This window comes from Homo sapiens, chromosome 16, assembly GCF_000001405.40.
Source record: "Homo sapiens chromosome 16, GRCh38.p14 Primary Assembly".
Taxonomy (NCBI): domain Eukaryota; kingdom Metazoa; phylum Chordata; class Mammalia; order Primates; family Hominidae; genus Homo; species Homo sapiens.
The window spans coordinates 8,623,227-8,637,216 of NC_000016.10; the positions used below are offsets into that span (position 1 = coordinate 8,623,227).

General features: G+C 48.0%; 1 protein-coding gene across 13 annotated transcripts in view; it reads left to right on the forward strand.

Moving 5' to 3' along the window:
- The window catches only part of METTL22 (methyltransferase 22, Kin17 lysine), a 45,577-nt gene that overhangs the window by 1,529 nt on the left and 30,058 nt on the right, over positions 1–13,990 (forward strand). For 7 of the 13 annotated variants that reach the window (XM_047434610.1, XM_017023659.3, NM_024109.4 and 4 more), the window contains exons 2-5: positions 2,270–2,572; positions 5,504–5,884; positions 11,813–11,853; positions 11,942–12,086. In XM_047434610.1, the coding sequence (XP_047290566.1) occupies positions 2,440–2,572; positions 5,504–5,884; positions 11,813–11,853; positions 11,942–12,086 (700 nt within the window). In that variant the 5' untranslated portion in view covers positions 2,270–2,439. Of the gene's footprint in view, positions 1–530; positions 893–2,269; positions 2,573–5,503; positions 5,885–11,812; positions 11,854–11,941; positions 12,087–13,990 lie in introns of all 13 variants that reach the window. The other 6 variants (XM_017023660.2, XM_047434612.1, XM_047434614.1 and 3 more) reach the window with 3 other exon arrangements.

Genomic DNA, 13,990 nt, shown 5'->3' on the forward strand with positions numbered 1-13,990 from the left:
CTTGAGCCCAGGAGGCGGAGGTTGTAGTGAGCCGAGATGGCACCACTGCACTCTAGCCTGGGCAACAGAGTGAGACTCTGTCTCAGAAAAAAAAAAAAAAATGCGCTATGGCAAAAAAAGAAATGGCATCCTTTGGTTCACTTTTGATTTTTACAGCAATATTAGAGAGGATCTTCCCCACCCCCTTCAAAAAAAACTGTATGTGAAAGTCCTCAGTTTTCCCCCAGGACATCTCTAAGTCCTGAGAGAGCTTGATCTGCCTTTGAAATGAGTGGTAGGTATAAGCTGTATTTTCTCTTCTGGAATCTGGTGTGGTTTTGCCAGTCCGATTGATTGAGTGTTGGCCTTCAGGTCCAGCATTTCTCCATCACTTTCAATGACACCATGAAATTCTGCATTGATTTGCCAGATTCACAGACTTTCTTTACAACCCACTTGCATTTTGATGGCTTTATGGTGTTGAGTAGGAAAGCTAGCATGGAGATGAATAAGGAATCATCTTTTTCTTAAAAATTTTTTTGTTGGGACAGCTTTTGCTGCCCCACAGCAACCACTTAAATGTAGGAACTCCAGCAGTGTACTGGGATCATTAGGACAGCCTGAGTCATGATGACCTCATTTTGCAGTTGAAGAAGTGGGGGCCCTGAAGATTTCATGACATCTACCCAGGTAGGAACAGCTCCTATAGGCAGTCAGGGGTTACAGGCAGGTTTGGGTCAAATACCTGAAACCAACCCCAGGACAAGGAGGTTGCTGGTGTTTTATTAACACCTACTGTGAGCCAAGGACTCTGCTCAGCAGTTTACCCACCCAGTAACACTGCGTGAGATTGTGGCTGAAGAAACAGATGCAGAGAGGCGAAGTGATTTTCCTGAAATCACATGGCTAGAAGGTGAGAAACCAGGGATCCCCACCTGGTCTGTCCAGCTTCAAAGCCCATCAGACTACTGCTGTTTGATGATGCTTTTTGATTAGGTGAAACGGTTGGAGGGAGGTCCCACCTGTTCTTGACCACTTTGCCTCAGCCATGGTTTTCCAAGTTTTAGTTATTAATGTGTCACCTGCATAATTTTGCCATATCTGTGTATCACCAGTGTAGTGACTCCCTTACTACTTTTCCTTTAAATCCACTCACTCTTTTTTTTTTTTTTTTAATTTCTTTTTGAGACAGGGTCTTGCTCTGCCACCCAGCCTGGAGTGCAGAGTGCAGTGACGCATTCTCAGCTCACTGCAACCCCTGCCTTTTGGTGTCAAGCGATCCTCCCACCTCAGCCTCCCAAGTAGCTGGGACTACCAGCGCGCGCCACGACACCCGCCTAATTCCACTCATCTTTTTAAATTCAGTAGCAGAGCTTTAAGCCAGGCATGATGGCTCACGCCTGTAATCCCAGCACTTTAGGAAGCTGATATGGGAGGATGGCTTGAGCCCAAGAATTTGAGACCAGCCTGGGAAACATAGTGAGACCCTTGTCTCTACAAAAAAAAAAAATTTAATGCCAAGTATGGTGGCATAGCTGTAGTCCTAACTATGAAGGAGGTTGAGGCAGGAGGATCGCGTGAAGTTTGAGGCTGCAGTGAGCCATGATTGTACCACTGCACTCCAGCCTGGGCAACAGAGCAAGCCCCTGTCTGTAAAAAGAAATGTTTAAAAATAAAACATTGTTTAAAATAGGAAAGCTTTATAACAACAAATGATGTGGGGACAGTTGATAACAGCTTCTAGAATAAAAAAGAAAGAGTAAAGGGCCATAACAACTAAATGCAAAGTGCAGATTGTGATTGGATACTGGTTTCTGGGGGAAAAAAAACCTCAAAGACCTTTGGGAGACAGATGGAGGAAATTGACTTTAATGCTATTAGGGAATTATTAATTAACTTAGATTTGCTAATGGTCTTATGATTATATAGGGAAATGCTCTTAGGGGACAGACATTAAATAATTTAGGGGCAAAATGTCATGATGTCTACAATGTACTCTCAGCTCAAGGAGAAGAAACCAGAGAGGGCAGGCACGTGTGGCAAAATGGTGAGGATCATTGAATCTAAGCAGTAGTTCTACGGTTATGATATTCCCCTGTATCCTTACTGTTTGAAATTTTTTTGTAATAAGTTGAAAAAAAAGGGAAAGGAAACTTTATAAATGGAAATTCATATCCCTTTCTATAAATAAAAGGTTACTATGAAAATGAATATAATGAATATATGAATGAATATAAAATGAATATAATGAGTGAAATGAATATAAACAAAATAACGCATTAATTTCCAGCTGGATTCTCTTCCCTGGCCAAGTCTCTGAGATCTTCTCCCAGGGCGATGCAAAGCTACTCGCTACCAGCTTGGACCTGTCTGCAGTATCTCCTCTGGGACCTGCCATGCTGAGGACCCATTCTCACCTCTGAGGGACTCCTGTCCTAGGACTAAGGTGGAGCCTGGGCCATGGTACAGCTGGCTCCTGCGGCAGCCATGGACGAGGTCACCTTTAGGAGCGACACTGTGCTGTCAGATGTCCACCTCTATACCCCGAACCATAGACATCTCATGGTACGGCTGAACAGCGTGGGGCAGCCAGGTAAGGTCCTGGGCCCAGGTGCCCTGCGGATCCTATTTTGTTTTCTGCTTTCTCATACTCATCTTTTTGGGGAAAATATTGGGAAGACTGGATTACGTAACTGTTATCCTCAGACCACTTTTTAAGTGCCCTTTTTTTCTTTATGATTTTTTAAAAACCTTGTACTCTGCAATTTTTGTATGTGGGGGTTTGTTTTGCTTTTGTTTTTGCTTTTCTTAAAGACAATCTCACTCTGTCACCCAGTCTGGAGTGCAGTGGCACAGTCATGGCTCACTGCAGCCTCAAACTCCTGGACTCAAGTGATCTTCCTTCCCCTGCCTCCAGAGTAGCTGAGACTACAGGCTCACATCACCACACCTGGCTGGTTTTTATTTTGTAGAGCTGGAGTCTTGCTAGCCCAGGCTGGTTTTGAACTCCAGGCCTGAAGCAACCCTCCCACCTTAGCCTCTTGAGTCCCTGGGATTACAGGCAAGCTGCTGTCCCCCCACTTTCATTAAGCAAACTCCTGTGGTTTCCTGAGCACCTATTGTGCGCCTGACCCAGGACTTGATGCTGGGAATGCAGATACGAATGAGCCAAACTTTGCCGTCAGCAAGCCCAGGGTCCACTGGGGAGACAAAGTGCTGGGGCTCCATCTGTCCTCTGCTCTTTTTTTTTTTTTTTTTTTTGAGACGGAAGCTCGCTCTGTCACCCAGGGGGCAGTGCAGTGGCGCGACCTCGGCTCACTGCAACCTCCGCCTCCCGGGTTCAAGCAACTCTCCTGCCTCAGCCTCCCGAGTAGCTGGGATTACCGGCACCTGCCACCACGCCCAGCTAATTTTTGTATTTTTAGTACAGACAGAGTTTCACCATGTTGGTCAGGCTGGTCTTGAACTTCTGACCTCAGGTGATCCTCCCACCCCGGCCTCCCAAAGTGCTGGGATTACGGGCATGAACCACCGCATCCAACCCTGTCCTCTACTCTTTTTTTTTTTTTTTTTTTTTTTGAGGCAGTCTCGCTCCCTCACCCAGGCTGGAGTGCAGTGGCATGCGATCTCGGCTCACTGCAAGCTCCGCCTCCCGGGTTCACGCCATTCTCCTGCCTCAGCCTCCCAAGTAGCTGGGACTACAGGCACCCGCCACCACGCCTGGCTAATTTTTTTGTATTTTTGGTAGACACAGGGTTTCACCGTGTTAACCAGAATGGTCTTGATCTCCTGACCTCGTGCCGCCCGCCTCGGCCTCCCAAAGTGTCCTCTGCTCTTTATCCCCACTCCCTTTACCCTAGTCCAGCCACCTCTGTTGCTTGCCTGGCTGCCTCTGTCTTCTCCCACTGAGTTCACTGCTGCACACCCTCCCCGCTTATCTCTGCAGCAGCCAAGGACGTCTTTTGAAAATGCAGATCAAATCACAGCACTTCCTGAGTTAGACCTCCAGTGGCTTTCCGTTGCTCTCAGAATAACATCCAGGTTCCTCAGCTTGGTCTGTGAGGCCAGCCTGACCCAGCCTCTGCTTGTGTGCCTACCCTTATGTCACTCTCTCTTGCTCTTCTGTGGCCACTCTCAGGTTCTTTCTGTCCCTCAAACACAGGGAGGGGAGAGAAGCAACCATAAGATACAAGGCCAGGGAGAAAACACCTGCTTTCCTCCCCTCCTGGCTCCTCAAGTATCATCTCCACAGACAGCCCCTCCCTGGCCACCCTCCCTAACCCCAACTACCCTGTATTAGCTTGTTATGGTGTGATTATTAATAATTCCCATTGACCTCCTGCCCTAATTTGGATGGTACATTATACCAGGGGTATACAAACTGCAGCCTGTGAGCCAAATCTGGCCTGCAGCTATTTTTATAAAGAGTTTTATGAAGCCACAGCCATGCCCAGTCATTAACGTGTTTTTACAGCTGTTTTTGTGCTATAACGGCAGAGTTGAGGAGTTGCAACAAAGATCACAGGGCCCACAAAGCTTGAAAATAGATACATTTTATGAGACAGGGTCTCATTCTGTCACCCAAGCTGGAGTGCGGTGGTGCAGTCTTGACTCACTACAGCCTCGACCTCCCCAGGCTCAGGTGATCCTCCCATCTCAGCCTCCCAAGTAGCTGGGACTATAGGCACATGCCACCATACCTGGATAATTTTTTTGTAGAGAAGGGGATTTACCATGTTGCCCAGGCTGGTCAAATTCCTGGGCTCAAGAAATCTTCCTGTCTTGGCCTCCCAAAGTGCTGGAATTACAGGTGTAAGCCACCATGCCCAGCCAAAAAACTTTTTTATCTAACCTGTTACAGGAAAAGTTTGCTCACCCCTGCCTTATGTGGTTGCCACATCTGTGTCACACAGAATGCAGTTTTACTATATTCCTGGTAATTAACACAGCCTGTAATTATCTTGTTTACTTGCTTAATGTTTCTTCCCCAACTTCACTCCTAAAATGTAAGGCCCTAACATACCAAATCCTGCTTTGTACCCCCAGCACCTGGCATGGTACTTGGCACACAGTGTTCGGTGATGAATGAATGGATGATCGGACAGATTCAAAAACTGGCATAAACCCGGGATGCTGTGTGAGCTTAGAGGAGAGGCCCCTGAGCTCATTCCTAAAAGTTGTGTGGCCTTGGTCAGCTTAGTCCTCTAAGCCTCAGTTTCTGGGTCTGTAAGATGAAGCTGATAATGGTATCTTCACAGCAATTGTGGAGATTGAATGAGCTGATATGAGCCAAGTGCCTCATAGATTCTCATGAAATGGCGGCTGCTCTTGGTGGTGGCCCCAGCCTCCTGGCTGGTGGTGGTCACAGCTGAATCAAGTGGGCCTTTTCTGCTGGCATTAGTATATCTCTACCTGGCCTTTAAAAATCTTTCCTATTGGTAATCAGATATTCTCAAAGAAGAAGAGGAAGGTAAAAAAGAAAACATCTTGGAATTCTCATTTTGCGTTCTGTCTTGCCTTTCAGTTTTCCTGTCCCAATTCAAGCTTCTATGGAGCCAAGACTCTTGGACAGATTCAGGAGCCAAGGGTGGCAGTCACAGAGATGTTCACACAAAGGAGCCTCCTTCTGCTGAGACAGGCAGCACAGGGTCCCCTCCAGGAAGTGGCCATGGTAATGAGGGTTTCTCCCTCCAGGCCGGGACTGACACCACTGGCCAGGAAGTGGCTGAAGCTCAGCTGGATGAGGATGGGGATTTGGACGTGGTGAGAAGACCACGAGCCGCCTCTGATTCCAACCCAGCAGGGCCTCTGAGAGACAAGGTACATCCCATGATTCTAGCACAGGAAGAAGACGACGTCCTGGGAGAGGAAGCACAAGGCAGCCCGCACGATATCATCAGAATAGGTAAATAGAGGTGTGATGTGGCCCACCTGTCACCAAGGCAACTCCGCAGTGTCACTGCTCAGGGCTCAGTATGATCTGAGCGTGGACTCTGCAGGCCCAGGCAGCACAGGTTATGAGAACCAGCTCGGGTGAGACTGGGGAAGCTCTCCACAACCCCGTCACTCCTGCCCGGCTCACACCACCACAGCCTCACCCTGTGCGCTTTCTTCTCTGTGCTGTGCCTCCTTGCTGGAGTGCTTGCTCCCAGCCTCTGCTCCCTTAACATGTTCCCCATTGCCGTACAGTTTCCAGCTCAGCCACACCTCCTCCAGGAAGCCTCCCTGCTGCTGCCTCCCACATCTGTGCTCTTGCTCTAACTCAGCGTGTTGGGGGTGTGGGACAGGCTTGGCCTGGCTGGGCTGGCAGTAGGGAGCCATGGGAGGTTCTGGAGCTGGAGTGTGGCAGAGGGAGAGGGATGTAAATGAAAATGAATGGGGCGTGGACCAGTCAGATGGACTGGGAGCTGGGAGCTAGAAGCCAGGTAAGAAAGGGGAGTGATGAAGTGGCGGGAAAAGTGGGACAGGAGAGAGGTTTGGACAGATACTCAGAGGTGGGATCAAAGAGGAACTGCTACCCAGGTATGGGGGCAGAGCAGAGGGGTTTGCTGACTCTAGGATTTGAAATCTAGGGACCTGGCACTCTAGAAACACCGGGAGCAGTAGGGAGCTGGGCCAGGAAGTGATCGGTCCTGGTTAAGCACCTATCGTGTTTTGGATATCTTCACTAGTATCGAGTGGCCTAGTCTGCACAACCCCTCCTGAGGGGGTGCATGGATGAGGAAGTGAAAGGCCTAGCGCCATGCTGCTTGGTGGTGGTGAGCGAGCTTCGAATCCACACAGTGTCCACACCAGGGCTTTGCCTCCCCCTGGCGCTGCTCATTTGGGGAGCGGAGCTGTGATTTGAGGCCGTTCATTGAGATCCAGGGTCCCCGATGGTGTCTTGAGTTCCCAGGGAAAGGCCTCCCCCAGCACTGGCCTTTGGTCAGAGAATGGGGGTCAGTGGGTCACTCTCAAAAACAGACAAAACAGCAGCTCTGTATCTATCTGCTCAGCAAACAGTTACTAAGCGCCTCCACGGTGGTACCAAGCAGCCTCTGTTCTAGACTGTCCCAGAGAGGGCAACGTGGAACTCATACCAGAACCCAGTTCCATGTATCCCATGGGTGACCTCTGCCCTCATGGCCTCTGCAGATAGGGATGAGTATTCCCATTTCACAGAGGAAGAGACTGAGGCTCAGCGAGGTTGAGGAACTTGCTGGGGTCACACAGCTAGTCAGTGGCAGAGCTGAGACTTGTACCTAGGTCTGTCTGACGCCACAGCCTGTGCTGTCATTCCACATCATGGGGGCAGAGCTTTCGAAAGAGGCTTGGAAAGTCCTGCTTCTCAGGGGGGCCGACGATGGCTCATTTCCCTCTGAGCCCTCACTGTTATTAGCCTCCCCAAGCTGGGGAGCAAACCTGTCAGTTACTCCACAGTGAATTGTTGTGTCTGTAGTGAATGTTCTGGGAATTTACCATTGTATGAGCTAAGAACAAAGTCCCTCGGGAAGAGGCTGGCCTGTGACCAGCTTCCCCTCCTGCCCTGTTCCGGTGACCTCACGGTGAGGCCCCCTTGTCTGTATACCTGGAAGTTCACTTTTTCAGCTGTCAGTCACTCACTACCTGCCCTGACGGAGGAGAGTGGAATGGTAGCTAATGCATGAACCTAGGTAGTAATTCGTGATTATTTCAAACTGGCTAGAGCACTTTCATCTGCAAAACTTGATCTAATCCTGCAGGGCTGGATTTTGAGCCCAGCTCCATCTTCACAAGCCAGGTGACCAGAGACAAATGTCTTACCCACTCAGAACCACATGGTCAGAACCACGTGATCAGGGGAACCACTGTCCCTGGGTTTTAGTGATAATTTATTGAAACATGCCCAGTGAGCGCCAGGAGCAGGGCCTGGCGCAGAGTTGATGGTAAGCAGACGTCATTCGCCTCACAACCCTTTTCCTCTGACCCGTAAATCAACCCATTTTTTTCAAGTTATAGACCCATTTGAGAAACTGGTTTTTCTAAAGAAAAAGAAAAATAGGTGTTTTCTTAACTATTCCAAGGGATTGACAAAACCTTAAAAAGTTTATCCAGGGATCTGCCAGGAATCCACAGACCCAGGATTCAAAAGAAATTATGTTCAATTCCCCCACTGTAGAAATAAAGTGAGACCCCAAGAGAACTCGAGAAAGGCAGGGCTGGAACTCAGGCCGTCAGATTCTGAGTCCCGTGCCTTCCTGCTGGAGAATCGGGCAAGTCGCTTAGCCTCTCTGAGTTCAGTTTCCTTGTCTGTACAAGGGGTACAACCTCCTCCAGTTGTAAGGAATTCAGAGAGACAGCACATACAAAGCTCTTAGCGTAATGCCTGGCACGGATTCAGTGTTCCGTAAATGTAAGCCTCTGTCCTGGGGACTGGCCCAAGCTGGGAGGAGGGAGACTGGCTGACGAACAGTCTAGGTTCCTGCAGGTCTAGAGACCCAGTTTGCAAATGAGATAAGACGTAATTCTAGAATCTGATAAGGACAGGTGAGATTCTAACACTGTCTCATCCCATTGCTAGCCCTAGAGTTTCTCATGGGGATAGTTCCTCAGGCTGGTCTTTTATGTTCTCATGATACCTTTGGGATTATTTAAATATAAACTCTGACTTTTCACAGGAGTGGGAGCCCCAAGATGGCCCTGGGTAGGGAGGTCCCTAAGTCACCTGGGCCTCCACCCCTAGACTGAATCCTTCTTCCTCACCCCTATGCAGCCACCTGGACCGCGCCCGGCCCAGGGCTGACATACTGGGCATTTGTTGTGATCTCTGACTATCCTGATGAGTCATGAAGAAGCATATTTACCCATTCGAACACTAGCAAGTGCCTGAAACGGGGCAGGGGTCGGGTAGACCTCGGAATCTCTGCACTCCGGAGTCGAGGATGTCAGACACAAGAAAGGAGAGTGCCCTTAAGGTCGGCCACACTCAGCTTCCTGGGGAATTCATTCTGGCTTTTTCCATCTGGCCCCAGGGAGTTGCACAGCATCCGCTTCTTCCTTTGATCCATCCCTGAGCCTCTTGTTCTCTCCCTTATCAATTCGCCCTGGTGTTTTCTCGTGTTATCAGCATCAGCAGAAAGCACATCTTAGATCAGTTCTTGGTCAGACTCCCAAATGACTTCATTTTAAATCCTCTTTTGTTTCTATTTGGCTTTAGAAAAATATGGGTCTCACTTTGCACTTCGTTACCCAGGCTGGTCTCAAACTCCTGGCTTCAGGCGATCCTCCTGCTTTAGCCTTCCAAAGTGCTGGGATTATAGGTGTGAGCCACTACCCGGCCATCTCGACACATTTTGATCTAATTAGATGTTTTTTTCTCAGACTATGACCCTGGGCTGGTCATGTCCCCCTTCTGGGCTTCAGTGATCTCCACCTGTGCAAGGGCTGGGGTCCTTGACCACCTCAATGGTTCTCAGATGTCTGCCGAGCCTGTGCTCTCTCAGAAGCGCTGTCTGGTTAAACACTGTTACAGCCTTAGAAATGAGGGATGAGGCTACTTCTGCATTTTGCAAAAGAGGAAACTGTAGCTCTGTCTCCAAGAAGTTAAGTGACTTGTCACCCAGCTAGGAAATGACAAAACTGGGTTGTCATACAGGTCTCTGACCTCAGAGTCCTCATTCTCCCTCAAGGGAAGCTAGCCACCCATTGAGGACAGCTGGGAGGCAGAACTTACGTCCACGAGACCCCTGGAAGGAAGTGACCAATCACATAGGACCAAGATCACTATGAGAAGGTTCCCCTGGCAGCAGGAACCCTTAGGACAGCTGGGGTTAGGGAGCAGATGGCAAGGAGGAAGCTTTCCCAGGCCAATGGAGGGAGAGGAGAGGAGAGGAGGCTACGAGCCACACCCAGGAGATGGCATGGGTGGGACTGGGGAAGAGGAACTGGGCAGGGACGCTGACACAGAGGGCCTGGGGTCTGTAGACCACAGACACCCCTTCCCCTCCACGCACAAGCACACAAGCCTTCAGCCTGCCCAGCGAGTCCCTGTCCCTTTCATCCTGGGAGGCTCTGCCCCAGGCTTTTTAAACCGTGTCCCTGGCATGGTTCAGATTCTACATCTCCCTTCCCCAAGCAGGCTGAAGAGCTAGAAAAGGCCGGGCACGGTGGCTCACACCTATGATCCCACTTTGGGAGGCCAAAGCAGTGTATCACTTGAGCCCAAGGGTTTGAAACCAGCCCTGGCAACATGCTGAGACCCTATCTCTACAAAAACTACAAAACTAAAAAAATTTAGCCTGGCATGGAGGCATGCACCTGTAGCCCCAGCTACTCGAGAGGCTTAGGTGGCAGGGTCACTTGAGCCTGGGAGGTGGAGGCTGCAGTGAGCCTTGGCCGTGCCACCACACTCCAGCGTAGATGACAGAGTGAGACCCTGTCTCAAAACAGAAAGAGACAGAAAACTGCAGATGACCTGACTTGGAACCCCGCATCTGCCACTCACCCTCTCTGTGACCACAGCCTGCTAACCTCACCCAGCCACCTTTTCCTCATCCAATAATACTCGAAGCTGTCATTGGGTGATTTTGAGGATTAAATGAGAAAGCATTTAGCCCAGTGCCTCATGCAGAGAAGGTGCTTTTTTTTCTATTAACTTTACAAACAGTAATGCTGAACCTTAGTCAGTGTCTTTCTCTGTAATATACATGTGAGCCAATCAGGTAGAATCTCAGTGGCACCCAGGGCTTGCTCACAGAATGTGTCTGTCTAGTGAATGTTGGTTCAGTGAAGGAACTTTGCATCAGGTGGTTCGGCAGGTGTATTTCTGTTCCAGTTTCAAACCAGGTGACTACGTGTTAGGACGTAGCAATCTGAAGCCCTTCTGAAAGGAACATGTTTTATTAAAAGTGCCTTGTAAGCCACCATGTCAAATCTAGCCAAGATGCTGGTGGACAACCCATTAGTCACTTTATTCAGAGATCAGATTCTAACTGCCCATAGGGCTGAAATCTTTGGCCAGATTTTCCCAGGAGGAGCCCTCAGAGAACAGTGGCCCAGGTGCCCAAGAGGACCCTACACAGTCGATTTCTTTCCTGGTTCGGGGACAGACAGAGCGATTGGCGATAGCTGTTACCATCTCACTTAAAAATACTTGAGCAAGTTATTTTCCCTCCTCGGGAGCTCTTAGACAAGCAAGTTCTTACTTAACAACAAAAAATGCTTTGCTTCATTCCTTTTCTCCTTGATCTTATATTTCCATTGTGTTCCCCCCTCCACCAGAATTTGATCCTATTAGGGTATATTATAAATACAAAATATATTATATTTTGCACTTGAGAATACTTATACTACTTTTCAACGTTTTTAAAAAGGATGTAAATTTAAACTTATTTTTTTGTTAACTTCTAATGTAGATTTCTAAGTATGAGAAAATAATGAAGTTAAGTATGTTTCTCAGTATAAGAAAATACTTTTGAATGAATTGTGATTATTAGTAGTATATAAATTAATATATTATGATTGTAACTTTGCAATTATTGGTCATGAAAAAAGTAGTGCACTGCATGTGGGTGCAATTAAATTGCGTGAAAACCTAATTGTGACCCTCCCTAGCCTTGGGCTGTAGGGCAGAGATACCCAGTTACATGAAAGAGTGTGAGCCCCATTCCAAAAAGCTCCCATCCTCTGAGTGGTGCTCAAAAGTCGCCTCCTAACCAGTAGCACAGCCTGTGTTTCTGCTGCTCTCTAGAACGCCTCATTCCAACCTCTGACGCCCATCTGACCGTGCTGGCGGTTGCCACACTGTCCTGTCTTGTGGTTTTCTGTCCATCCCCATTTCACAGTGGGCATTTCTCTTGGTTTCTGTCCCATCCAGAGCACACCATGGCCACGCCCCTGGAGGATGTTGGCAAGCAGGTGGGTAGGTCTTGTCCGCTTCCTGTGGCCCTGATGGGTCCCTGCAGAGCCTCACGCTGCTTGTCGCTCCTTGTCCTCTTCCCTCCAGGTGTGGCGGGGCGCCCTGCTCCTGGCAGACTACATCCTGTTCCGACAGGACCTCTTCCGAGGATGTACAGCGCTGGAGCTCGGGGCCGGCACGGGGCTCGCTAGCATCATCGCAGCCACCATGGCACGGACCGTTTATTGTACAGGTAATGAGGTGACATCTCAGGCTGCAGGGAAGTAGTCACCTTCACAAAGCATGCACTGACTGTATAAAAAAAGAGGCAGAGGCACTGGAAATTGGATGTTAGCTGTTGTTGATTTTGCCATCCTGGTCCCCTGGCCCTCTCCACTCTCCATTTATTCTCAGTGACATCAAAATGACCCAGCAATACCCACTCAGCAGCAGCAGCGTCACCCAGTGGCTATAAGGCCATTGAGCTTCAGGAGGTGCCTAGCGCCCCTGCTGGTACCTCTCTCCCCACTCCTGAGAAAGAGCAAATATCTCCAAAAACAGGAGGAATATACCCTTTTAGAAGCCTTTGAAAGCAAGTTTATTATTTTTTTCCTGGGTATAGAAGCCTTGCCCATTCTTTGTAGGAGGTTTTTAAAACAGTACATAAAAATTACTCATAATTTTACAATCCCTAGATTGAATCAACAATATGCAACTTATGGGTCACCTCCCGTGTGCCACTCATTTCTAGATGTAGGAGGCCCTGCGGTGAATGGAGCTGACTAGGCACTGCCCTCAGGGCGCTTACGTTGTAAGAATCTCCTCCAAATGATAGCTGAAATCAAGCTGCAGCAGCACTGTATTCTGCTGAAAATGTTGAAAAACATTTTTAAGAGCATTTTCTTTTTTAAATATGTATATATTTAGGGGGTACAAGTGCGGGTTTCTGATGTGCAGCTATATTGCAGTGATGACATCCGTCTGGGCTTTTAGTGGACCTTCCACTCAAATAGTGAACATTGTACCCAATAGGGAAGCTTTAATCCCCCACCCCTCCCACCGTGTCACCTTCTGGAATCCCCAGTGTCTGTGTTTCCACTCAGTATGTCCATGTTTACCCGTTGTTTAGCTCCCACTCATAAGTGAGAACATTTTAAGAGCATTTTCTCATGCCATTAAAAAATTATTATATAGGCCAGGTGCGGTGGCTGACATCTGTAATCCCAGCCCTTTGGGAGGCTGAGGCAGGCAGATCACCTGAGGTCAGGAGTTTGAGAACAGCCAGGCCAACATGGTGAAACCCTGTCTGTACTAAAAATACAAGAATTAACCAGATGTGGTAGCGGCGGGCACCTGTAATCCCAGCTACTTGGGAGGCTTGAACCTGGGAGGCAGAGGTTGCAGTGAGCTGAGATTGCACCACTGCACTCCAGTCTGGGCCACAGAGTGAGACTCTGTCTCAAAAAAAAAAAAAAAAAAACAAACTTTATATATGACTTTTAATGACCAGATAATATTTCATCTTCTTTGTAACCCTTCTCCTATTGCTGAGCATTTTGGCCATTCCTATGGGTTTTGGTTTTTTGGTTTTTGTTTTTTTTTGCATTTGTCAGTTACACTGTGATGAACATCTTTGTATATTGTCTAATAATCTGTCACCTAGGTTCCTAGGAGTGGGCGGTGTTAGTTACATTGCAATGAACATCTTTGTGTATCGTTGTCTAATAACGTGTCACTAGGTTCCTAGAAGTGGGTGAGACTATTCTTAAGCTTTTGATGAACATTACCAACTAATTTCTTTTTTAGTATTTAATTTTGAAATAATTTCAGACTCAAAAGGAGTTGTTAAAATAATCCAGCAAGTGCCATATGCCCTTCCTCTGGCTCCCCAGTGGTGACATCACACACAACCATAGTACAGTGATGAAAACCAGCCAGTGAAGTTAACTAAACTCCTAACGTGCCAGAGTGCTTTCTTTAGAACAAATATACCTGTTTACAAGAGAGTAGTGATCTCGTCAAGTGAACCTTGTTGTTATATTTTAAATCTTTAGTATCTGCTGGACAAAAAGAGGTATCAGCTGATGTGGTTTACACCTCATTGCTTCCTAGTGAACGTTACCTGGCACAGACTTTTGTTTCTGAGATAGGAAGGAA